The 25,486-nt window shown below is 36.5% G+C and overlaps 1 protein-coding gene across 3 annotated transcripts in view, besides 1 other annotated feature; it reads right to left on the bottom strand.

The window, feature by feature from the left end:
• RFX6 (regulatory factor X6) overlaps window positions 8,138-25,486 on the bottom strand; it is a 54,920-nt gene continuing 37,571 nt past the window's right edge. For all 3 annotated transcript variants that reach the window (NM_173560.4, XM_011535589.2, XM_017010477.2), the window contains 12 exons: window positions 24,214-24,291; window positions 23,985-24,098; window positions 22,213-22,262; window positions 21,003-21,162; window positions 19,845-19,989; window positions 18,148-18,257; window positions 17,075-17,192; window positions 15,508-15,630; window positions 14,640-14,846; window positions 12,760-13,272; window positions 11,328-11,540; window positions 8,138-8,968 (listed from right to left, as the gene is read on the bottom strand). In NM_173560.4, the coding sequence (NP_775831.2) occupies window positions 8,793-8,968; window positions 11,328-11,540; window positions 12,760-13,272; window positions 14,640-14,846; window positions 15,508-15,630; window positions 17,075-17,192; window positions 18,148-18,257; window positions 19,845-19,989; window positions 21,003-21,162; window positions 22,213-22,262; window positions 23,985-24,098; window positions 24,214-24,291 (2,007 nt within the window). In that variant the 3' untranslated portion in view covers window positions 8,138-8,792. The remainder of the gene's footprint in view (window positions 8,969-11,327; window positions 11,541-12,759; window positions 13,273-14,639; window positions 14,847-15,507; window positions 15,631-17,074; window positions 17,193-18,147; window positions 18,258-19,844; window positions 19,990-21,002; window positions 21,163-22,212; window positions 22,263-23,984; window positions 24,099-24,213; window positions 24,292-25,486) is intronic.
• Window positions 14,116-15,315: an enhancer, noted in NCBI's record as "BRD4-independent group 4 enhancer chr6:117246147-117247346 (GRCh37/hg19 assembly coordinates)". NCBI's record gives its function as "activates an origin of replication core promoter dependent on BRD2, P300/CBP, MED14 and CDK7 cofactors, and independent of BRD4, by STARR-seq in HCT116 cells {active_cell/tissue: HCT116}" and the evidence as "EXISTENCE:reporter gene assay evidence [ECO:0000049][PMID:35650434]".

Raw genomic sequence — 25,486 nt, 5'->3', positions numbered from 1 at the left:
CACCTTCAGGCACATCTTCTAGGTGAGTCTTCCTTTGGGGAGTAGAAAGTCAAAATGGGCACAATACATTGTACAGGGGTCCAGACAATAAGAAACACGTGGAAAACGGCATGTGTGTAGCAGGCAGGGGTAGCAGATAGTACAAATATATTACCCCTGAAATTCACAGGCAAGAAATGTTGCCATTTTTAATATAAAAATATTATATGAAAAAACATGAAAAGTTTTATTTTTTCATAGAGGTCATGTGTAAAGCATTAATAAGCTAAAGTACACAAAGCCAAATGACAAAGCTTGATTAACAAACTGCCCACAAAGCTCATATTTGCCTCAGTGTGTTTAAAGATGCTTGAAGGCTGTAAATCTCTGACCCTTATTCTGACTATTGATTGATAAGAACTCCACCCTTGTTTTTAACTAATAAAAACAATGGTTTCTCTTTACTTTAGAGCGGGTATCATATTGGGTAGTTAATTTTTCACTTTTGTAAGTGTGTTTCTCACCCAAATCTTACTTGGAGGCTCTACATCTATTTTGAGAAAGGAGGTCAAGTCACTACATCACACTGAAAAATCTTGGTTTCGACCTCTTCACCTTTAGTTCTCTTCAATTTTAGGGTTAAAATCAATCATGCCAGAAATAAAGGAAAACACCATTTAAAAGAATTCACATACTTTTTCCTCTTCTTGTTATCTAAGTGTGTTTTTCAAGAAAGGATGTCTGGGATTAAGTTTGTAGGGGAAAAGAATAGAAAATTCTACTAAACTTGTTTATATTGGCTGAAATCATTTTTAAAAGAGATCCAATTTGAAACTTCCACAAAAAAACTCATGAGATTAATTTTCTTGATTAAGTGTTGTCTTTGGACACATAAAAGGGACTTACAGCCTATTAAATAATTTTTAACTGTGAAATCTAGGAGAGCAAGGCTGTTCTCATCATGAAAATGTTTCAGCATTTCAGTTTATAAAAATCTCAGGCATTCTTACCAGCCTCTTCTAATTCTTTATAGATCTTCACAATCACACAAGTTTCTCACATTTAACAATAAATCGCTAAGATCACCATTACAGTTTGAAAGCCTCAGTAGTCGCTCTCCCGACTCGTTCTGGCCGCTCTCCCTAGCTCTCTGTGATCTGCCACATCTTTTCAACTTTGATGACCAGTCTTTAGTTCCTCACATGTTGGATTCTTGTCCTGAACAAGCGGTTCTGCTGCTCGCCACCACTCTTTCTCCACCAGAAAGTTTCTCCCCATCACCACCCACTTCCTACTCATGCTTCAGGTCTCAGATTAGACGTTGCTTCTTCCAAGAAGCTTCCCTGACCAGCTATCCCCGCCCTATACCTTGTCCTGCACACACCTGCATGAGCCTAACTCTTGTTATCATTTCTCTCAGCAGCCTTCACTTTTCACATTTTCAATTAATTATTTCTTAATTGTAATTAATTGTGCAAATGTTTAGATTATTGTCTGCCCTCCCTCATAACTATTAGCTTCATGAGGGAAGAAATCTTGTCTGTTCTTGTTATCACCAGTGTGAGCAGACATATTCATTAAAATGTGGGATAAAAGGGACTATTTCTTGGAACTTTCAACACATTCATTTCTTAAAACTTAACCAACCTGAGATCACTACAACGTTATCTCATTACAATATTCATGCATTGGCTTTTCTAATTCTGTTATTTATTTATTATTTTTTGAGGCAGTCTCACTCTGAAGCCGAGGCTGGAGTGAAGTGGTGCAATTCCGACTCACTGCAATCTCTGCCTCCTGGGCTGAAGCCATCCTCCCACCTCAGTCTCCCAAGTAGCTGGGATTGCAGGCGCCACCAGGGCCGGCTAATTTTTGTATTTTTAGTAGGGACCATGTTTCACCGTGTTTGCCAGGCTGGTCTTGAACCCCTAACTTCAAGTGATTCATTCGCCTGCTTCAGCCTTCCAAAGTGCTGGGATTACAGGTGTGAACCACCACACCCGGCTATTTGTCTAGTTTTGAGAGGGGGTCTTGCTCTGTCACCCAGGCTGGAGTGCAGTGGCATAATGTTGGCTCACTGCAGCCTTGACCTCCTGGGCTCAAGTGATCATCCTGCTTCATCCTCCTGAGTAGCTCAACTACAGGTATGCATGTGGCTGACTTTTTTTATTTTTTGTAGAGACAAGGTCTCACTATGTTGCCCACGCTGGTCTCAAACTCCGGGCATCAAGCAATCCTCCTGCCTCAGCCTCACAATATGATAGGATTACAGGCATGAGCCACTGTGTCCAGCCTAATTCCGTTTTTTAAAAAGAAAGAAAATAGGCCGGGCGCGGTGGCTCACGCCTGTAATCCCAGCACTTTGGGAGGCCGAGGCGGGCGGATCACGAGGTCAGGAGATCGAGACCATCCTGGCTAACACGGTAAAACCCCGTCATCCCTACCAAAAATACAAAAAAATTAGCCAGGCGTGGTGGCGGGCGCCTGTAGTCCCAGCTACTCGGAAGGCTGAGGCAGGAGAATGGCGTGAACCCGGGAGGCGGAGCTTTCAGTGAGCCGAGATCGCACCACTGCACTCCAGCCTGGGCGACAGAGTGAGACTCCATCTCAAAAAAAAAAAAAAAAAAAAAAAGAAAGAAAGAAAGAAAATGATACTCAAGCAACTGATAGATTTTAAACATTGATATCAAATGAAATATTTGTAAATAGTGAGATAATGTTTTTAATAGGAACAAGAATCTAGAGTTATTTTACATTTATATGTCCAAAGCTTCCCATGTCATTGGATGGACAGAGTCTTCTACTACAACCTCATCATATGACAAGTAAAAGGGTCAAACTAACAAGGGGTCAATTTTATCCTCATAAACTTCGCATGAATATTTTTGAAAATATAGATTTTTAAAGAGAGATTTGGGAAAAATCAGAGACCTCTCCAGCTGGATTAGATTCTTTAAAAAACTAAGTAAAAATTGATGTTGCTTGTTGTGGAAAATAAATTGTTTTTATAATAGAAAACATTTCTATGATGGTATTATATAGCCAAGATCAGTGAAAAGCAAACTGTATTTATAAGGTTTTGATATTAGAGAACTAATTAAAGCCTTTTATCAGTAAGAACACAGAGACCTTATTTTACGGTTAAATGTCTCAAAATTAGTGAATAGATCATTCCTCAGAGTCTGCTTACAACTACCAATCTTTTCCAGTCATTGCTAATGCCTATAATCAAGGAATAACTACAATTTATTTTCTTTTCATTTAATCAGTGTGCTTTTGAAATGGACAGGTTGTGTTCTCTGCCATTTACAAACTCAAGGATTTAATTTAAAATTCAATAATTGAATGAGATGGTATAATAACCTTTTATATAAATTCATCATTTCTTATCTTTCCCAAAGAACAAAATGTCCTGTATGCCATAATCACTACTGTTTACTTTTCTGGAAGGTTTTTGTATAAATTTCTATATCTCACCCTGGATTGTAAATCCATCCTCAAAATACAGCGTGAACAGTTTACTACTCCAGGCCTTACAAGAGCTCATAGCTGCTATTGTAACATTTGTATGGCAATTAATTTCACTCCCTGTTATAAAGAAACCGAAGTCCCTGTAATATTCCTTTCCAGGGAGTTCAGACATATCACTCTCATTTGCGTCCTGCTTTTTAAAAAAGTTAGAACTTCGGGTTTGGGTTTCACAAGATGTATCTCAAAGGTTTTCCTCCCCTACCCCCTCCCCTCCACTCCCCTCCTTTTTATTCCCCTCCCCTCCTTCTCTTGCCTCCTCTCTCTCTCTCTCTCTCTCTCTCTCTCTCTCTCTCTCTCTCTTCTCTTGTCTCCTTTTTGGAGGGGTAAGGAAGGAAAATGCATTACCTAGGCTGACTTTCAAGAATTGACAGTATTTTTTTGTCCTATTTTAATGGACTGCATTTGTATAAGAAGAGATTTATTTGTTGAAAAATAAAATCAGTGAACCACTAATGTATTATTTATCAAAATTTTCTACAGAAGAGGAAACATACTGTAGTATACCTGGTAGTATAGTTAAAGCAGCTGTACTTTGAGTGACTATACAAAGACCACGTCCATTTAAGTTTCCAAGGGCAAACTCAAGTAAGTGGGCAGAAGAGAACTGGGCATTGTTTATCATTGGTCAAGATGGCACAGCTGCAGCTCTGGTTTCTACTGCAGGTCTGGGAAGCTGTCATTTCAGTGTCCCATTAGAGGAGGCCAACCAAAGGGGGCCAACCATTGCTGCCCAGGGCCCTACTCACAACTCAGCTTCTCTCTACCTCTGCTTTTCTCTGTCTCCCTCTCCCAGCCTTACTCTTCTGCCTGTTTTTTTCTCTAGGCTATGTGTGAGTTTTGCAGTCACAGTTCCTGAGGATGTTTTTTTTATAATTTTTTTTTTAAGTTCCAGGGTACATTTGCAGGACGTGCAGTTTTGTTACATAGGTAAACATGTGCCATGGTTGTTTGCTGCACTTATCAACCCATCACCTAGGTATTAAGCCCAGCATGCATTAGCTCTTTTCCCTAATGCTCTCCCCTCCTTGCCCTTCCCCAACAGACCCCAGAAAGTGTTGTTCCCTTCCCTGTGTCCATGTGTTCTCATTGTTCAGCTCCCACTTATACATGATAACATGCAGTGTTTGGTTTTCTCTTCCTGCATTAGTTTGCTAAGTATAATGGCTTCCAGCTTCATCCATGTCCCTGCAAAGGATATGATCTCATTCCTTTTTATGGCTGCACAGTATTCCATGGTGTATATGTACCACATTTTCTTTATCCAATCTTTCATTTATGGGCATTTGGGTTGATTCCATGTCTTTGCTATTGTGAATAGTGTTGCAATGAACATATGCATGTATCTTTATAATAGAATGATTTATATTCCTTTGGGTATATACCCAGTAATAGGATTGCTGGCTCAAATGGTATTTCTGGTTCTAAGTCTCTGAGGAATTGCCACACTGTCTTCCACAATGGTCGAACTAATTTCCCAACAATATAAAAGTGTTGCTATTTCTCTGCAACCTCACCAGCATCTGAGATTATCTGATTGGATTAGTTAGATGTTAGATAATATGAAGCGTCATTATTGGGCAAAGCTTTGTGGCAACCACCTCATAGCCTACTGGTCTGCCTTCATTTCCTTATAGAAGCATTATTGGCTTTTGAAGTAAGACAATTCCTCATTGTGCAAATCTGACCCACACATTGCAGGACATTCACATGCATGGTCCTGGCACTAAATGCCAGTGTGCCTTCCCTGTTTCGGCGTTGTGATAATCATCCCCCCTCCATTTCCAAAATAGGCTCTGGGCATGTTAGACCTTGAGGGTCTCCTGGATTCTTCTTTGAAAGGGGAACAAAGAGAAAGGATTTTACATTACAACTATAATGGGAATTTAGCTTAAATTTTTGTTTAAATATTCTGACCTGAAAGCATGCTTGGGAACATATAACTGATGAGAGTTCTAATTTTTCTTAGTGCAACACTACCTGCAGAGAGGAAAATAAACCAGGTCCATTGTGATATGTGATTCTATGTTAATGACATAGCTGGGTTTTAAGTTGTTGTAAAACAGGTTCTTGGTCTCTAAATTCTATTAAGAATTTACTGAAGCCAGGATTGAAGTGGCTCATTCCTGTAATCCCAGAACTTCAGGAGGCTGAGGCAGGGGGTCACTTGAACTCAGGAGTTTTGGGAGGATCACTTGAGCCTAGAAAGCCTAGGCTGCAGTGAGCTGTGATCGCCCACTGCACTCGAGCTGGGAGACAGTGAGACCCCGTCTAAAAAAAAAAAAAAAATCTACTGAGTGAATTGGAGCATTCATTTGTCAATAGGTCTTTTATCTATAGCAGCCACCACACCGTAACATAACATTTGAAAAATACTACTCGAGGACTGAGTTATAGGTCTGGTACGGTGGCTTATGCCTGTAATCCCAGCACTTTGTGAGGCAGGAGGATCACTTGAGCCCAGAAGTTCAGGACCCATCTGGGTAACATAGAGAGACCCCCATCTCTACAAAAAGTTTAAAAATTGAAAAAGAAAATAAAATAATTGAATTGTAAAGCAAGCATTTTTTGAATTCTGATTTCTAACCTTAATTTTGCATTTCACATAAGCATTAGCTGAAACAGGCCACTTTATAATTGATACTTCACAACTTCTAAAAACTACTTGAGGGATAATATACTTGCTTTTGGAAACAGAAACACTAAAACGCTAGGCAAGATCCTTTAACCTATTAAAATTAACAAGAATATCAGAAAATGCCTTGAGCACCCAGGCTTAGATCCATGAAGGAAACCATTTTTAAATGATGAGTGTAACTGAAGGGCAGAGAGGTATTATATTGTCTCATGCTCCTTCTAGGTAAAATTAAAGATGTTGTCACCTTTAATTCAAGGAGAACTAGCACTGCCTCTCCAGAGGCATTTGAAAAAATGTGAGGTGTTTTTGGTTGTCACAGTGACTGGGAAAGGGAGTTCTATTGAGATTTAGTGTTTGAGAGCCAGGGATATAAATCTTGTGCAATATGCAGAACAGTGAGATAAAAGAACTGTCCTGCCTGAAAGCCAATAGTGCCTGCATGGAGAAACACTGTTATGCATTTAACAGAGATAAACTCAAGTCCCACTGTCTGGCAAAAAGAGCAAGTTAGTCATCTGTCTCTTGACGTCAAGATTGAGCACCTTGTTATCAGCCAGGTGCAAATGAGACCCAGAGATGCTGTTCACATGTCTTGTAAGCTTCTCCCTGCTCTGGGTCATTTTCTCTCGTTTACAAAAAGGGCATCAATATATGGCAAATTATTTACACTGCAATGCTTTACAAATAGGGTAGGGAAATCCTTTGCAAACAGGGTTAGAGAAAATCCTTAAATACATTCTTTTGAAATGATGCTTCTTTCTCTCTCCCTGATCTCATTCCCTCTGCTTCCAAGTATTCTCTGTGTTTATCCACCGGACATCTAGATGAGAGAAACAACCTCCAAATAGCCCCCTTTTCAGACTAATTTCTCCGCTATCCAATTCAGCCCCTCTCTCCAACTAGTGTTAGATATTCCCTAAACATCACTTTCCCCACGTTGCTTTTCTACTCAAAAATCCTCTAGGAGCTTCTATTTTCTATCACATTACCCCTACATTGTTACACAAAAATGTATAAGGTATGACAGTGTCTTTCCCATCTTTGTATCTTCCATGTTGTTATATAATGAAGTGTCTGACACATAGAGGCTGAACATGTATTTAATTAGTATACATTAAAATTTTGGTTAACTTTCAAGACTTATGGCCAAACGCTTTTTAAAGCTGTTTTGTTTACTACTTAATTCCAAGTCTTTATTAATTTTCTCCTCTGTATTTCTACAATATTTCTAGATCAAAGAATAGAACATTTGCTATTCTTTGTGATTTGTTACTGCTATAATCTTTTTCTGTTCAATTAATTAAATTATAAACTGCATACTGTTGAACATACAACTAAGCAAATGGTAGCAATACTCTGACAGGTCCACAGATAATTGTTTATTGCTTGCTGAAAAAAATTCCACAGTTTGTTTTACCAAATTCCATCATGATGTATAATGAGTATCTGGGTCTTATAGATCCTTTTACGATGTACCTGGGGTTTATAGTGTAACCTAATCCTTAATACAAATAATATGAGGCTTGTCATAAGACTATAGGAGAAGCCTGTAAAGTTTATGGAAGTCTCCTACCACAGGCCAGGAACTTTACAACAGACCTTTCAGTGAAGACATATGGAAAAGAAAAAGAAACAGAGGTAGAAAGATAGATAGTGTTATCAAATTGTATTAATTTATATGTAATGATTCCTTCACTTCTGAATTAGGCTTTGCATCTAGCTAATCCCTGAACACTCATTGACTTTCAATGTATAAGAAAGTACTTGGTAAAAGACTGCTTCTAAATCTGAAAAGGTTCAAATAGTCTACAATTCACAATTTCTTTATATGTATAGGCATGGATATGATATGCAAATGTTTTTAAATTATAGTGTTTAACCACACTACTTGACTCCTTAATCTCATTTCCAAAGGAGCTGAGATTAAAGAGTAAATCCCCAGCATTCTTCAGAAACAGTACCAGCCCCAAGAGCACCAAGCCTTTAAAAATATTTCCATACATTATTTCTTTTATTCCTTTTAATCTTTTTTAAATAAAGAGGGGAAAGCACTTATCATCTCCATTCAGTTACATAGAATCGGAATGCTGCTATGTGACAGAAATCATCACACTAATGCACAGGAATTGAAGTCAAGCAACTTTGGTCTTGTCTGAATTGAATTAAGTCTTGACCTTGTAAACATTTCCGTTGGAGGTAGAACATACACATTTGACTTTTTGTCAAATAAGGGATAGTAAACAATGATTCTGAGATCCTAATAAATTAAAGGTATTGTAAAGGCATTAAATATACTTTTTAAAAGAAACCAAAGATAAAAAGGCACACAGATGTTTAATAAATTAGAAAGTGAAATGTAAATCTTCATAGTTGAAATGTTTGCATCTTCAGATCTTCACTGGTTTTATTTGATAATTTTGAAACTATGATTAATAATGAGCTCACATTTTAAACTCTTAGTGTGCATGACAAGCTCTGCAAGTATCTCCATTCACTATGGAGTTGTCCATAGTACCAGTGACTTTAAAACAATGTCAGCCACTGCATATTCATTTTTATTTACTCTTATGGAAGTCTGAGTGAATAATGATATTTGCACAGTAGAGATTTTTTTTAAAGTTTTAGCACCCCCTCCCACATTGGTGGTTTAAGTGCCTCCAGCTGCTGTTCCCATGAACACAGTGTTGATAGGTGGTAAAGAGGACACCATTTCTCTACTGCTTGTTCCATGGGAGTCCAGGGTTTCTTGAGCTGGATACTGGTTGGAAGTTCCATACATACATTGGGATGAGGAAGAAGGAATTGGGGTTTGCAAACTGGAAGCTGTAAGGGAAAATATAATCAGCAATTGAAAATTGATTGACATTTTCTTTTCTCTGCAAATGCCACTCATTTTAATACCCTGTATTTATTTTTGCACTTAGCACACATACCTATTCTAAATTTGAGTCTGTATGGTTTACCAGAGCAATCATTTTTTCTTCCATTTGTTCCCACTTGCTAGTCTCCCAGAAATTATTTCCTCTACATATTTCACAAAGAAAACTCCATTTCAACTTAAGTGCTACCGCCAAAATATATCCCCCAATCAACCTCCTCTTTCCATCTGCACTTTCACGGTTGTAGTTCAAACCACCATCTTTTCTCTCCTGGACCAACACAGCAGCCTCCTGACTGGTCCCATGATCTCCACCTTTGTTTCACCCACTCACCTTCCCGAGAGCAACCAGAATGATATTGCTGAAGAGTAGATCAAACTTTCACTCGTCTCAAATGCCATAGTGGCTTCCGATACCCTTGGAACATGAACCAAGCATCTTACCCTATGTAGATGGGCCCCTGATTTTTTATTTATTTTGCTCTACTCTCTCCTTCATTCAACATGCTTAAGACACACTGGCCTGCTCTCTGCCCATTGATTTTTTCAAATTTATTCTGATTTCAGCGGTTCTGCATTCACTGTTTCTTCTGCCTGGAACTCCTCCCTCAGATCTTCACATCTTTGCCTCCTTCTCATCACTCAGCTTTCAACTCAAATGTTTCTGCCTCAGGATTCCTTTCTCAGCTGTCCTACCGAAAGCAGCTCCTCCTTTACTGTCTGTCATTTTACTCTATTTAATCAGGTTCAGAGTACTTGACATTATCTTTTTAATGCATTTGCTCATGTATTTATTGCCTTACTGTCCCTCTACTAGAATGTAAACTTCTTACAGGCAAGAACTATGGCCTGATCACCACCATATCCTCACATCTAGAATGGGGTCTGGCTCCTAGTCGGTTCTCAATAAAATTCATTAACTGGCTCACTAGCCCTGTATTTCTCTCATATATGGTTGCTGCCTTCTTATTGCTGACATGACGTGCTCTCTGTCTAAGAACCAGGCTTTATACTTAAGAAATAGTTGAACTCAATTCTCCTTGCACTACTTATCCACTTATTCTATCCCCTCATTTTACCCTGCAGCACACTTTGTAATCTACTTGTAAGCCAGCTCTGATAAACTAAAGCTTAGACTCCACCCTACTCTTAACCTATGTTTCGTCAAAGCTTCCACTATCTCTTCAGGTAAACAGAACTAATAGTAACAATAGCAACACAGTACATTTTAGTCTCATGGTGAGAAAACTTCCTGAAGTGGAATTTTCTGCTTCATTAGAGTAACCTAGAAGCAATGACCATTTGCAGATAGCAGAAGATGAGCTGCTAGATTCTGCTCAGGGAGCATGTGTGACAGTGACAGGAAGAGAAGGAGTACTTCCTATTGAATTATTGGGAAGGTACACTGAGTGAGGAGAGATGAAATTGATTTCATTTTCCCTTATGCTCTGGTTGCGTGTCAATGCCCTCTACTTATGCTAGTCTGAAATCAATCTCATTGGAAGACTTTAACCATCTCATATAAATATTAACACTCTGCTTTGATACTTAGTGAATATATACTTGCCCTGTGAAATCTTATTAGTATTTTTAGAAACTAAATCTATAGTGACTAAATCTATGTTATTACTAATAACATACTAATTATTATTGCAGAATTTCTTCATAGATGAGGATTAAGAAATGTAACCTGGTTGGAAGAAGATTCCAGGAGGCTTCACGGCAAGCACACGTTTTTCTTATTTTTACTTACATGATATGTTAGAGAGCAATAAAAATGGCAACATTTTCTACAGAGGTGTTGAATCACATTTTACATAAGAATGAGAAAATGCTAGTAGCACCCATCACAGGACACCAGTTTTTTTTAATCTTGGAGTGATTTTTGGATACTGATGGAGATCATGAGGCCTAAAGATATCTCTTGGCACTACAACTGGGTCCAACACTAATCAAGAGTGAGAAAAGGATATTATTACTGCCCTTTTAAAACTTACAGTTTTAGACTGCATTTGACAGGTCATATTAATCTTTTGCATACTTAATAGATACCAGCTATTTTTTTTGTAAAAAGTAACAGATCTAGCAGTAGGTTGCATAATAGAGATATACAGAATAAGAAATGAAAAACTGTTACTAACTGTGTAGTCAGATACAAAAAATATAACTTTAGATCCAAGGTAATAAATCAACCGTGGAAACATGCTTGCTCAGTTCACCTCAGCATATCTCCCTCAAGTAATGTTGCATACCTGAGGTTAACAACTTCTTAAAATGTTTTCAAGAACTGCTAAAATAATTTACCTAGGACTGGAGTTCGACATGCAACTGGAGATGATGTGTCTGTGTAAAACGAGCTGGTCTGTTTTCTACCACTGTCATCTAAAATGTTAAGTGGATCGTGGATGTCACTGTAGGGGGGCAGTGAACGAATGCTGCTGATGACAGAAACGTGCTGATTCACCATTGATCCGAGCCTGTGAGACTCTGGGTAGTTTATGTTGCTTCCATAGTATCCTGTAACAGAAAATGTTGAGAATTTGCTGTTAACTTACTACAAAGAACTTTCAGGAAGGAAAAAAGTGACAAAGTAATGAGGTGACGTCCTAAAGATATCAAACTGTAAGTATTACATGTGTATCTATACATGCTACAGAACTGGATTTGTGCTTGTACATGGATAAGGTTTACTGTGCTGTTTTTTGTGTTTTTTAACACATAAGAATTGTAGCATCATACATAATTTAATACAATAATTATAGCATAATACATAATTTAAGACATAAGAATTGTATTAACTTTAAGACCAGATTACACTTCTGTCAGATTTCCCTTATCTAAATTAACAAGATCTACCTTTGAAGGAAAAAAAGCACTATCGCCTGTCACAAAAATACTACTTTCATGTATAGATGCATGTTTAGGGAAGACAAAGACTGGCCTACACTTAGGAGAAAGACACCAAAGAAGCCTACACACAAAGCCTATTTTGGTGACTCAAGGTCACAGGTCTCTCTAATTCCCTTAACTTCCTATTTTTATTGGTCTGTTTTGTTCCCAATCTTTAAAATCTGCTTTTAGTTATCAGGAAGAAATATTATCCACTAAAAATGTTTTCAAAAGACAGAACATTCTTCTTTGGGGCTATTAAGGTAGGTCTCAAACATATGATTTAACTATCTTTTTTTTTTTTTTAACATATGCGGTATTTAGGAGGACAGCTTTAGGCCGGGGGTGTTGGCTCACACCTTTGGGAGGCACCTCAGCATTTTGGGAAGCCAAGGAGAGAGGATTGCTTAAAGTTGGTAGTTTGAGACCAGCCTGGGCAAACATAGTGAGACTTTGTCTCTAGAAAAAATTTAAAATATAGACAGGGATGGTGATGCATGCCTGTAGTCCCAGCTACTTGGGAAGCTGAGATAGGAGGATTGCTTGAGCTAGGGGTTTGAGGCTGCAGTGAATCATGATCCTGCCAAGCACTCCAGCCTGGGCTACAGCATAAGACCTTGTCTCAAAAAAAAAAAAAAAAAAAGGAAGAAGGGCAACTTTAGGAAAGCCACAAAAATTAGGAAATATATATGTATGTGACAGAAATCAGCTCCAAATGTCTAAGATTCCATGATCTTTGGAAGCCTTAAATGAAAGGACATGCTAGTCAGCAGAGGTGGAACGCAATGTCTGATTTTGCCTCATTGCCATCTCAAAAACCAAGAAAAATTCTTTTAAATATCAATACCATTTGGTGAATTAGGAGGCAGTGTTGCTCCTTGGCAGCTGGCAGCTCCTGTGTTGCTCAAGAAATTGAAGCTTCCTGTATTTAAAAACTGCATATTGTGTGAATCCTGGGCTTGCAGGGATGGGCCATAGCTAGACGGTGGCCGGGAGTTATATGGAGACCCCGCACAGCTGCCACTGAAGAAGTCTCTTGAAAGCTGCTGTTCAGTCCAAGCCATGCATCGACCATGCTCGGTGTGATGAGGATAGAGTCCTGATGTGGAGTGGGGCTGTGCCCTAAACACAGTCTGGTAGTTAGAGCTGGTGCTATAAAAGTCATGATTGGCTTGAGGGAGAGTGGGATAAATGGGCTCTGGGTATGTGGAGCAGTGTGATGGAGCTGACAGTACTGGGCCCACACTTGGGGGCCTCCCTGCCATTGGTCCTTGGTTAATGACACTTCCTCGGCTTGCCATGGCTGGAGAAATGGGTGGTGTCATCAGATGACCAGCAATCTGTGAAAGCTCCATTTGACCTGGAAAAAATCACCAGAACATTCCTTTAGTGTCATATTAAAGTAGATGAGCTCACATCTTTAAAAAATATTCAAAAGATTTATTAATGTATTGTTTTCCAGCTTGCTTCATTCCTGCCCTCCAAAAATAACTAAACTGAAAAGCACCAAAAATCCAGAATTTAAAAAATATAATCACAACACATGTATATATCACAACAGTGGAGACGTGGATTTGGTGACTACAGAGGAAAGTCTGCGATGGCTTCATGGTTTCTCCACAGGTAGCATGGGGAGGACATGTGTGTCTGCTGCTCATATTTCCCCATAATTAAAAAATTAGCTGATTGTTAAACTGTTTGATTTTTAGGGTAAAAAGAAAAAGTCACTAATGTCAAAATGGCCATGGCTTCAAAGCAGTCAATTCAAAATGTCATGCAAACACCTCTTATAAGTAATGTGATTTATGAATGCCACCAACTCTCTGGGCCGCCAGTGTTCCATTGGTAGAAATGGACTCCTGAACTATAAGGCTCTTCTAGGTTTAAAATTCTGTATATCAAATGAAGTAATGTATATAAAAAGATTTCAAAAAAGACACAAGGCAATAAGCAGATTTAAAATATTCCCGAGTAGCTAGTTCAAGCCACCAAATATTCATGTTGACACAAAGAGAACCTTAGACCAAAAGGGAGAATTATTGTAACGATTATCCTAAAATGGCCGAATCCAGTTTTTTTGTTTGTTTGTTTGCTTTTTTGATATGGAGCTTCACTCTCGTCACCCAGCTGGAGTGTAATGGCCTGATCTCAGCTCACTGCAAGGTCCGCCTCCTGGGTTCAAGAGAGAGTACAGGCGCCTGCCACCAAGCCCGGCTAATTTTTTGTATGTTTAGTAGAGACGGGGTTTTGCCATGTTGGGCAGGCTGGTCTCAAACTCCTGACCTCAGGTGCTCTGCTCGCCTCGGCCTCCCAAAATGCTGAGATTACAGGCATGAGCCACCATACCCAGCCCGAAACTACTTTTTAAGGGAGGAGAAATAAAGTCTCCTCAAAATCCAGAAATAAGCAACCCATTTTTTTGATCTTCAAAGCATCTTAAGAATTTTATGTATACCTCATCTAATTATTTCTTCCACTAAATTAACTAATTATTCATACTTCTAATATAATTTATGGAGTGTGTCAAGACATGATACCTGTGTTAATAACAGTATTATTACCATTGCTGAAAATCACAAAAATATTATAAATCTTTATTAAAACTCAGTTAAGATCATCCTTTTTTATTGTTGGAATTCCTGGACTGGAAGTTATGAGTTTTAAGAAAAATGAAGCAACAGGCTTCTCTGAGATGTGCTGGAGCCTAAGCAGTTCTCTTTAGCGTACCTGTGAGCGGCATGTTGTCTGTGTTCCCAGCAGGGAACTGGTGCAGAGCAGGGCCTAGGCCTCCAGGTTGACTGGATGGCAGAGGGAGATAGGTTGTCTCCACGTGGCTTTCATTCTTCACAGCGTCGCTGGAAACCATGCTCCCTTTATTACGGTTGGCCAGAAAGCATGAACTCGGAGAAGCAGTGAAAGCAGCTTTACTCGCATCTGGAAAGAGTTTTTAAAATGGGAAATTTGAGATTTTTTCTCACATTCCTCGTAGATAAACCCAAGTAAAAAGAAAATGAAAATGTTTCATTGTTGAGTATTTAATCTGGAAACTACTAAGCAATGTTTCCCATGGGAAGTGAGGTTGGCAGACCTTTGCTCTTGACAGTGATGCTAGGTTTTTTTTAGCTGCATATTTGCGGATGTGGATGTAGATAAGGAGCACTAAATAATCCAGTTTGGAGTGAAGTCTTCAAAATGCAAGTTGCCCTATCCTGAATAGATGTGTTTCCTTCCTTCTCTAAACTCCTATAGAACTTATTTTTACACCACTTACATATGTAGTATACCACATGTGTCTTGAATTACAGTTATTTTTTGTATTATAGTCACTTCTCCAACTTCACCTTAATTCCCAGAAATTAAGATCACCAATTTTGTATACTTCAGAGTTTCCAGTAAAGTACTTTTGACTACATAGCAATGAATGAAAGAAAAGTAGTGCTCCAATAGTGTGACTGTATGGTGAGAATTAGTAATGACATGTTTGGAGAAAAACTCTGAGATTATGATAAACCCACTTAATATCTGAACTTATAAATTCTTGAACTTAAGATTAAAACAAAGAAATATGCAAAACAAAACAGTTATTTTAAGTTACCTGAATTCTTCATATACTTGTCCAATAAATTCTGTAACTCCTGCTCTTTGTCATTATTAAACTGGGTCTCCATGGCCAGGAGAATGTATTCATCGAGAAGCATTCGAATCAAATGAAAAGAACCTTGTTTATGGATGGAGAATGAGGAGAGGACAGTGTGAAATGTAAAAAGGGGAGAGAAAGAGAAGGAAAGGGAAAGAGAAGTCAGTTATCTTTGTGACCATCTCGCAACACTTTACAAGGAGCAACTGAAATAAACAAATACTTGTTGGACTTTAAATGACCTGCTAAGACCAACATGCTTAACTTGGATCTCTAATCTTTCTGTGTATTGCCTGCCCTGCTCACTGTGTGTACTGTCCTGCCAGCTCTTTGGCCACTAATTACATCAAAGGAAAATACGGATGAAAGTGAGACATGCTTTATGCTTTAAGAGGGCACACATTGGAGTGTGATAAGCTTCAACTTGGGGAGAATGAGCTCTACTCTGCTCTATTTCTGTTTACTTTGTACTAAATAATTAGACAATGGCCAACATGGTCTGAAAAAAGTCAAGTAAAGAGATATCTTTCTAGCCTGAAACAAAATATTCTTAGATTTGGCAAAAACTAAAAGAGTAATTTTCAAGTGAAATATGTTCTGGAAAACTAAAACTTCTTTTAACTATTCAATAGATTTTCCAACAAAAGTATTTTTCGTAGTAAGGCCAGGCTTCAATGCTGTATATTTTATAAAACTTTAAATATGGGAAGTCTATTTCAAATAATAGACAATGTGTTTTGTTTATTCTTCAATACAAATTCACTGATTTTATTTAATTCTATAGAACATTAAATAAAAACAATTTAGTTAATTGTAATCTCTTTCATAATGTGAAGATTTCCTGAAATGCAGCTACCAAATGCAGAGTTACTACTCATGAGTTAACATTATAACTATAAAATAGGAGTCTCAGGAATTCTAAGGAAAAAGAAGGCATTCAATTTTATAAAAAGCTAACTTAACCCTATTTGTCTCCCAAGTCATATAGAACAGGAAAGATGGGTCAGAAACATGACAGTGTGTCTTCTAAGCTGTTTTTTGATTCCTGGAGTGCAGTTATATGGGTGCTCAGAAAAGCTGCAGAAATTTGCCGTATTGCAATGAATAATAACTTTGGAAAATAATGTCTTAATTATCATTTGTTTAACAAAGAAAATTTATCCAAGCACTGATGGAATGTAATGATAATAGCTGCTATGCATTAAGCATTTCCTGAGTGCTAGGCAATTTGTTTTTATATACATCATCTCACCAAAGTACCTATACAACCCTTCGAAGAGAATATTCTTCCCCTTCTTCAATGAGCAGATTGGCCCATAGCCAGAGACAATCATTGTTAGGATTTAATCCTGCTTATGGTCTGACTCCAAAACCCAGGCTCATAAATACCATTTTCTCATAGCTCCATATTCAGATACAGTTTAAGAAGTGATGATGTAACATGTTTAAAAATTGACAGGAACTGTGACTGAGGAACAAATTATATAATTCATGTAAGAACAGTTTTATAATGCACGTATGTTACCAAAACTGGATGCATTGTTCAAGGTGAGATTATGCATTACTCGAGCACCAAAAAAACTCCACTTTAACAGAAAGTCTTGAGCTCTCTTCTTTAATGACCTTCCATTTTGTTTGCTGGTCTAAAAGTAAAGGAACAAAATGAAACTATAAAATCCGTCCTCTCAGTACTACATGCATCCTGTGTTAGATCAAGAAGTAAATAGACTGTCTAACAAATGGACAGATGGCATGGCATTTATTTCATCAAATAAAACTATCTGTCCAGGGAATTTAATGTTAGCCTGTCTTTGCTGATGTTTTAAGGGTAATAAGTCTTTATTCAATATGGCTTTGTTTCCTAATAGAATTAGACAACAAAATGAAATAATTTTCAAAATATTTTTATTTTTTAATTTTTCTTTGACAGAGCTTTAAAAAGAACAGAAGGTGAGGTGTGAAGGAAGGGCTATATATTTTTGTGAATGATTAACTCTGACTTCTTTGGTACTGAATGATAATCTATTTTCCTTACAGAAGGAAAAAAGTCTCCAAACTATAACTAGTCTCCTTGATATGGAATGGCCAACACCAACTAGTGATGGATATATTTGTTCTTATTGCTTGTTTCACAATGGGTGACTAGGTTAACCAAAGAAGGTGAAGAAACCACAGAGAAAACACAAAATATTGAGCTTTTGGAATTCAGAAATGCAAATGCTTAGAACCATGTTTTCCATCAGCATTTATGAAATCTTGCTTTTTAGAAACGGGCCAGATCATTCCAGTTTCTAAGTTTATCTTTCTCTACTGATGTTACTCAGCTGTAATGTTATTGACTGATAGGGAAGGCAGAGCATCTTGTAGTCTTTCGGCAAGAAAGGAGAAATATAATGGAATCCATGCCCAATGCTCTCAAATCTTGACATATTCCTAATTTCAGTATTTGGCCTGCCTTATTCGTAGAGCATCAAAAGCTTTTCAAAGCCTTTACACACACAGCCTTCCACCCCTCTCCCCCCAGACAAAAAATTATAGCCAGTTTAGCATTTACTCTTTACAAGGAACTTATTTTCTGAATCTGTCATTAAAAAGTACCTTAATAACTCTCTGTTCTACCACAGTATCCAACCATTCAATAAAAGCCTCCACAGTGGCATTCTTCTTAAGGAGATCCTTCAGTTCTTGGAACACAGTGATAGAGTCATCTACCCAGGAAAAAAAAAAAAAAGAAAGAAAAGAAAACAGAATATTGTACTCTACTTGGAATCCAAGAGAAAACCTAAAACTTGGAATCATCAATACTTTGATAGCATGAAAGGGAAAGACAGATAAATGTGTGAAAAGAATTAATATCATATCTTGAAAACAGTAACAAAAAAATCCTTAGTACTGTACTCTTCAATGGTGTGTGTGTGAGAGAGAGAGAGACAGGATCTTGCTTTGTTGCCCAGGCTGGAGTGCAATGACGTGATCATGGCTTACTGCAGCCTCAAACTCCTGGGCTCAAGTGACCCTCCTGCCTCAGCCTCCCAAGCAGTTGGGACTCCAGGCACGCACCAACAAGCCTGCCTAAATTAAAAAAAAAAAAAAATTATAGAGCAAGGTCTTGCTGTGTTGCCCAGGCTGGCCTTGAACTCCTGGGATCAAGCAATCTTCCCACCTCAGCCTCTTGAAGTGTGCCCGAAATTTTAATAAGTGTATATATCTTGGTATATATTGAAATATAGGTTTAAATCTTATATGTGTATTCACATACTAGGGAAGATTAAGTTGTTTATGTAGTTAAATATTCATTTTGAGTCTAGTGTTTTCATTAAACGGAACAGATTAGTTAAAAGTGAATGAATGAACCTAAGCTTGGTGATTTCCTGCTTTCCAAAATATCTTTTATCTTTAGTAAAAGTTAATTTCTTCTCAGCAGAATTGAGCCATTTACCTGAATAACGTTTTATCATGTAATATTTAAAAGGGCAGTTTAAGACTATCCTTTTATTAAAGGTTTTAAGGTTTACTGAATCTCAAAAGGTAATCCTATTTTATGTTAGGAAATAAAAAGTGGAGTTGAGATTGGGCCCCAGAGAGCAGTCCATAGTTTGTGCTCCAGTGTATAGGAGGCTGCAGGTTTTGTCTTTTCAAAGACAGAGGGAGGAAAAAATAGTGGCTGTTATCCCTTGAAATTCAAGCCTAGTTGTCTAGCCATGCATATTGGCTTGGTAAGCTCTCTCAGATGGTCCAAACCTGAGTAGAGAGTCTGCTTTGAAAAGCAGTATTGTGCTGAGATACCATTTTGATATTTATCACACACCACAGGATGACAAGACTATAAAACACATGTAAATTTCTATACATGTAATGTAAAACTGAAAGAAAACTTACAAAACTCAAAACAATTTGATTATTTTCAGATTATTTCCATTTCATTTATTTCTAGGTAATGAAATTACAGATGACTTTTATTTTCCTCAATATTTTCTATCTTTTCCATGGTGAGTAATTATAACTATTTTTTATTAGAAGATAAATTTTTTTAATTAAAAATATTTTTATAAACCAGGTTTTTTTTCAATCAGATGTGATTTTTCAGCCCAGAACACCTTTGACAATGTGGGGAAACATTTTTGGTTGTCTCAGCTTGGGGGAGGCTGCTACTGTCATCTAATGGGTAAAGGTCAAGGATGCTGCTAAACATCCTACAGCACACTGGACAGGCTCCTCCAACAGAGTTACCCAGCTCAAGATGTCAATTTTCTGAGCTTAGAAAACCTTGTTCTAAACAAAGAGAATGGACTTACGTTCAGTGTAGATACCAGATTCAGTGTCTGTGCTGCCTGAAATGGTAAGAAGGGCTTGAGAGCCAATGCTGTTCAAATCAACCCTTTCAATATCAGACACCATAGAATTAACGACATGCTGGTCAAAGAGAGCTGGTCTGGCAATCTGCATAGAGAAAGTAAAGAAGACACTACACTATATCATTTCTAATGTATCTAGAAGAAATTTTTAGCTATCAGAAAAATAGTTCCTTGAGATAAAAGTATCATAAATAACTTTTTTCTTATTTTAAAGACAAAAGCAGTAGCTGAGACTCATGATCATCTCTGTTAAAAGTCTGAAAATTATAGGAGATACACCTAATGTAAATGATGAGTTAATGGGTGCAACACACCAACAGGGCACATGTATACATATGTAACAAACCTGCACGATGTGCACATGTACCCTAAAACTTAAAGTATAATAAAAAATAGAAAAAGAAAATATAAATGGATTCTCTTTGTCCATGATCACAAAATAAGAATTTTTAAATGTTACATTTCCTATCTGAAATCATCTCAAGCTTGTCTTTTAAAATTTAGAAGGCAAGAAACCTTCATAAAGCAGATAATCATTTTGGGGAAAGAGAAATATATTTTAACAATATACAAATGCATCATTCTTAACTTATGAATTACTTTTGCTCTATTTAAAAGAGCCATGATTAGTCGGCAGTTTAAAATGTGTTGAGTTTGTGGTTTCACAATATTAAGTATCACACAGGCTTACTTCTCACAACCTTAATTTGTACCAATTAGATTCACATGGCAAATAAATGTTTAATTGCATTCAAGTTTTTTAAATTTCCAATCACAGAGAAGTTGCAAAGATAGTGCAGAATATTTCCATATACTCTCCATCCAGCTTCTTATCATCTTCTGTAACTATTGTATATTACCCAAATTATGAAATTAACATTGGTACAATACTATTAACTACAGACATAATTCAAATTTCACCAGCTTTCCCACTAATGTGCTTTTTCTATCATAGCATTCACTTCTGGGTCTCACGTTGCATTTAGTTGTTGTCTACTTAGCTCCCTTCAATCTATGAAAGTTCCTCAATCTGTCCTTCTCAGAAGATTCATTTTTTATATGGTGACTCAAATGCTCTCGACTTAGCAACCAACATACCTGGGCAAGATGTAAGAAAGATGTTTGTCGTTTCAGAGAAGATACAAATCTTCGCACAATAGGTATTTTCTTGTCAGTTAGAGCTTCTGGCAAGTTTTCCAAGGATGAAACAACCCACTGTTCCCAATTTTTAGCAAAATTTCTTATGTCTGCTAATAAGCTACAAAGAAGGCTATGTGTTAAATGCTTCATTGTTAAAAAATGCATTAAACAATCATATTTTAATTGAGGTATACTATTATTCTATGGTTTCATAAGCAGTACTTTTGAAGTCAGACAGCCTAGATCTGCCATTTATCATCTTTTCTTATGCTATATTTTTAAAATGTTTGTGGGTGCATAGGAGGTGTATATATTTATGGGGTACATGAGATGTTTTGTTATCATCTTGGTCAAAACACTCAAGCTCTTCAAACTCCACTTCAAGTACCCAATTCAGAGTACAGAATAGATATTTAAAGACTACAATTGATAATTAAAAGACATTATTGATCAGGCTAATACCAACTATCATATAGATGAAATAATCTGGAGGAAAAGGTAAATAAAAAGTAAAATTTGTTTTACCAAGCAACATCTATTTTTGGAGCACCAACTATGTCCAGTCCTATATGAATTTGTACCCCCAAAATACTAAAATAAATTTTATCATTTCATTAGATTTTGTTTTCAGAGAAAAAGTTGGCTTTTTTTTTTCAGAATTCTATTGTTCTTATATTGAAAAGGTTTTTTTTTTTTGAAAAATCTTCTGGTATTGTTTCAATAAACTATTTGAGATTTTATTCCTTTGTTAAAAGAAGGCAGTAATTTCATCATGCCACTTTCTGATTTTGTAATTAAGACAAAAGTTAATAATAAAATACAATAATTTCTCCTATAGTTTTTATTCTTGTGGTTATTTTCCATTAATTATCTTTTTTATCATACTCCAGCTAGTTTCCATTGAAAAATTTCTCGAAGATCAACAGTGCTTAAATCTATTTTTCACTTTAGCCGCTCTCAAATTAAAGGGATTGAAGGATTGTTTCACCCATTTTGTTTATTGAGGCCCAGCTATAAGACACATCTCTTCCAGCAAATACAAAGGGACAAAAGTAGAAAATAGTCTTCTTGATAAATGAATAAATTACTACCTAATGTTTTCTTCTAATATAATGTATAAAGTTAAATCCTATACTAGGAATGCTCATGTTTTATTAACTGAACATACCTTTCAGGCATTTCTTGCATTGTTGCAGGAATGAGTACATCTGTAAGAACCTTAATCATAGCAAAAGAGGTTAATACAAATCTTTACTTAGTATTTCTATAGAAAGACATATTATTGGTCAACTACTTTTTATTCCTAGCTTCCTAGAGAATAACATGTTAACTCCTTTCTCAAAGTTATAATTTTATCTCCAAAATGAATGTATGTATGAGTTGTGTGTGAGTGTGTATGACAATAAAAACAAGAGATAGCACTGTATATGTACATGCTCAGTATGTTAATTACCAATGGATTGGTCCATGGTAATCATATACCGTTTTATGATGAAAAGCTGACCACTTTCTAGAGGTGGGAGGAAGATTTTTGTAGAAGCTCATCTTACACCGTTCTACTTACAGAGCTCACTGTGCCTCTCTGGGTCCACCATGAGGAGGAGAAACCAGGTTCATTTAAAGATATTTAAAGTCAGGATGTTTATACTAGACTAAAAAAAACAGATCACTTAAAGGGAGAAGTGTGTTTTAAAAGTATTTCTTGGACAAACTGAATGACAGTCCAAAAAGCTTTGGTCTGATGGAAATTTGTGTGCATGAGCCCCAGGTCTTTTCTTATACTCACTCACGGAGCTGCCTCCCCTCCCCTTTTGGGAGCCTTGTCAAGTGTTAAGCATTACAAACAATTAATGCAAATTAAACTGTTTTTCTCTAAATAATGGCATTCATATTCAATCCAGAAAAAAAAAAAAAAACAAGACAATCCTTACTCTCCTCTGAAATTTTTTCAACTTGAACTTGAACTAAAGGCAGAAAATATATTGTACTTTATTCCTCCTTTCTCCTATCCTGTGATGAGGAAGTACTGGACAGAGGATAAAAATATGCACTCTCTTATTCAAGTTGTCTCATTACTTCTTGGTCTGCTTAGGGGCTTCTGGACTTAGTTTATCTATAAATAGCTTTTGCTTTACTTTTCTGCAAAGCTGAGAATCTGATAGTGGCAACTAACTTAGAAGGATTTTATTTCCTAAATGTTTAACAGCGTCCAGCTTGGGTTTTCTTGCCAACTCAGATTATTTTTTAAAAGGAAAGCTTTTGTTTTTCCTTATGGTAAGTTAGAAAGCAAATGTAGGCAAACTCACTTTAAAGTACCCACATTGCAATATAGTTTTATCCATCAGCTTAGAACTTGTAGCCACCAGGGAAGAGACTGTCAAGAATTAGCCTCTTTCTGTCTTCCATTAAATGTTTGCCTAGAAGGACAATCAGTTTGTCCTTATTTAGGATGTCTTCGAGATCCTTCTGCAGACACTTAGGAACTCTGATTTGGTTTGAGAAGAGAATTAGACATTAATGCATTAAAGTTAGAGGTTTTTGAGATTTTCAAGTTATTAATCTCATAAGGGTGCCTAATTCTGCTTTCTGCCAAAACACTGGCATTGTGAAAAAAAATCCACTGTGTTATTTTAATCTGAAAACACCTTAGAGAGTTAATAAAATTTAACTAAGTTTTCACATATTAATAAGTGTGTCACATATAGACTCATTATTAGCTGTAAAAAGAAATTGAGTTTGTTTTACTTAATGTAAACTTCAATTAAAACACATACACTATTAAACGTGCACTATTAAATTGCTTGCTTTCTCATCAAAAAAAAAGACAGTGTATATCCAGCCATAAATAACATATTTACTGAAAATATATTGCAAGAATTTAGATAGAATGCTACGTAAAGAAATAAATGGCTCATGTTTAAGACATCCCAAAGTGCTTACCTTATAAAGAATTGAGTCACAAACACAGAAAATATCAATGATAACAGGATTTTCGAGCAGGGGAAGGAGATGGTCAGGCATTCCTTGCCAAAAGTGTAATAAAAAATGCTGGATCTAGTTGCAGAGTAAAAAGTATGTTAAGATTTTTTTCTTTAACATGAACTCATTAAGAACAGAACATGAAAGTATATATAATAGGGTCAAATAAAGCATTCTTTGTCATTCTTACCTCTTCAAAGTTTCCATTAATTGCATTGTCCAGGATACACTGGCAGTGAGTTTTGTACATCATTATGAGCGTATCAACCTATTTCAAGGAAGAAAAAGCTTAACCAAAGCATCCTTTTAACACTGCCTTTTCTTGTTAATTTGTTCAACACAGATTTTTTAAAAGATCCTATTACGTACCAAGCAGTATGCTCAATGTTGAGGACTCAAAAATTAAGGCAAAATTCTTATTTCAAGGATCTTACTGCCTTGTGAAGGGAGAAAAGCAAACAAATGGACAACTACAGTATAATATGAAAAAGGTAATTTTTCAGAGTACTATGGACCAAAGTAACATCCTAGTTTTATGCCTACTAAAATATTAAATTTTAAAATTTAATTTTTAATTTAAATTTAAATTTTTTAAAATTAATTTTTGGGTAAATAAACATAAAGTAGTAAAAGTAGTAACAAAGATTTGGATAAATAAACATAAAGTAGTAAAATACATCAAATCTTCACACAGTTTTATGAAGTGGATGCTTGGAGCAGTATGGCATAATGGTTTCAAATTTTGTCTCTGGAGTCAGCTCAACTTGGGTGCCCACCTTCACTGCACTACTTACCAGGTATGACTGCAAAAGTGGCTTTGTCTCTGAGCTCCCAAGCTTTTTAAGTAGGTAGTAATAACATATTACTTACATGGTGTTAAGAAAATCAAATAAAATAGGATGTGACACATATGGAACAGTGCCTGGCACCCAGTAAGACCTTACTAAACATTATCCAGAGTTAGTAATAATATCAAATGATGCATTTTCCAAAAAAAAGTTTCAAACATTGAATGTCTATTATGAAAAGTCTCTCTTTTCAAGTTACCATGGATATTTGCATAGCATAGTTTAAAAGTTTTAAATATATTCTAAAATTTGCAATAGGCTAGAACTAGATAATATTCTGGCCACTTAATAACATTCAAACTAAAACTTTTATTTTACATGTTAGAAATTTCCCTACCTGTTGCCAGTTATGTACTCTACGTGAAAAAAAGCAATGTTTGGAGGTTGAATGTGTGAGCTTTGCCTTCAGATTACCTGGATTTCAATCGCAGCTCTAATTTGCCACTTACTAGTTATTACTAGTTATGTAACATTAGGCACACTACTTGATATTTATGTGCTTTAATTTCCTCATATCTAAAATTGACATGATAATAACAGTAGCTATAAAATAGGGTTGCTAGGAAGACTAAATGAATTAACAAATATAAAGTGTTTGGAATAATCCATAGTACA

Source organism: Homo sapiens, chromosome 6, assembly GCF_000001405.40.
Source record: "Homo sapiens chromosome 6, GRCh38.p14 Primary Assembly".
NCBI classification, from domain to species: Eukaryota; Metazoa; Chordata; class Mammalia; order Primates; family Hominidae; genus Homo; species Homo sapiens.
The sequence above is the reverse complement of the archived record's forward strand: the minus strand, read 5'-3'. Positions and strand labels throughout refer to the sequence as shown.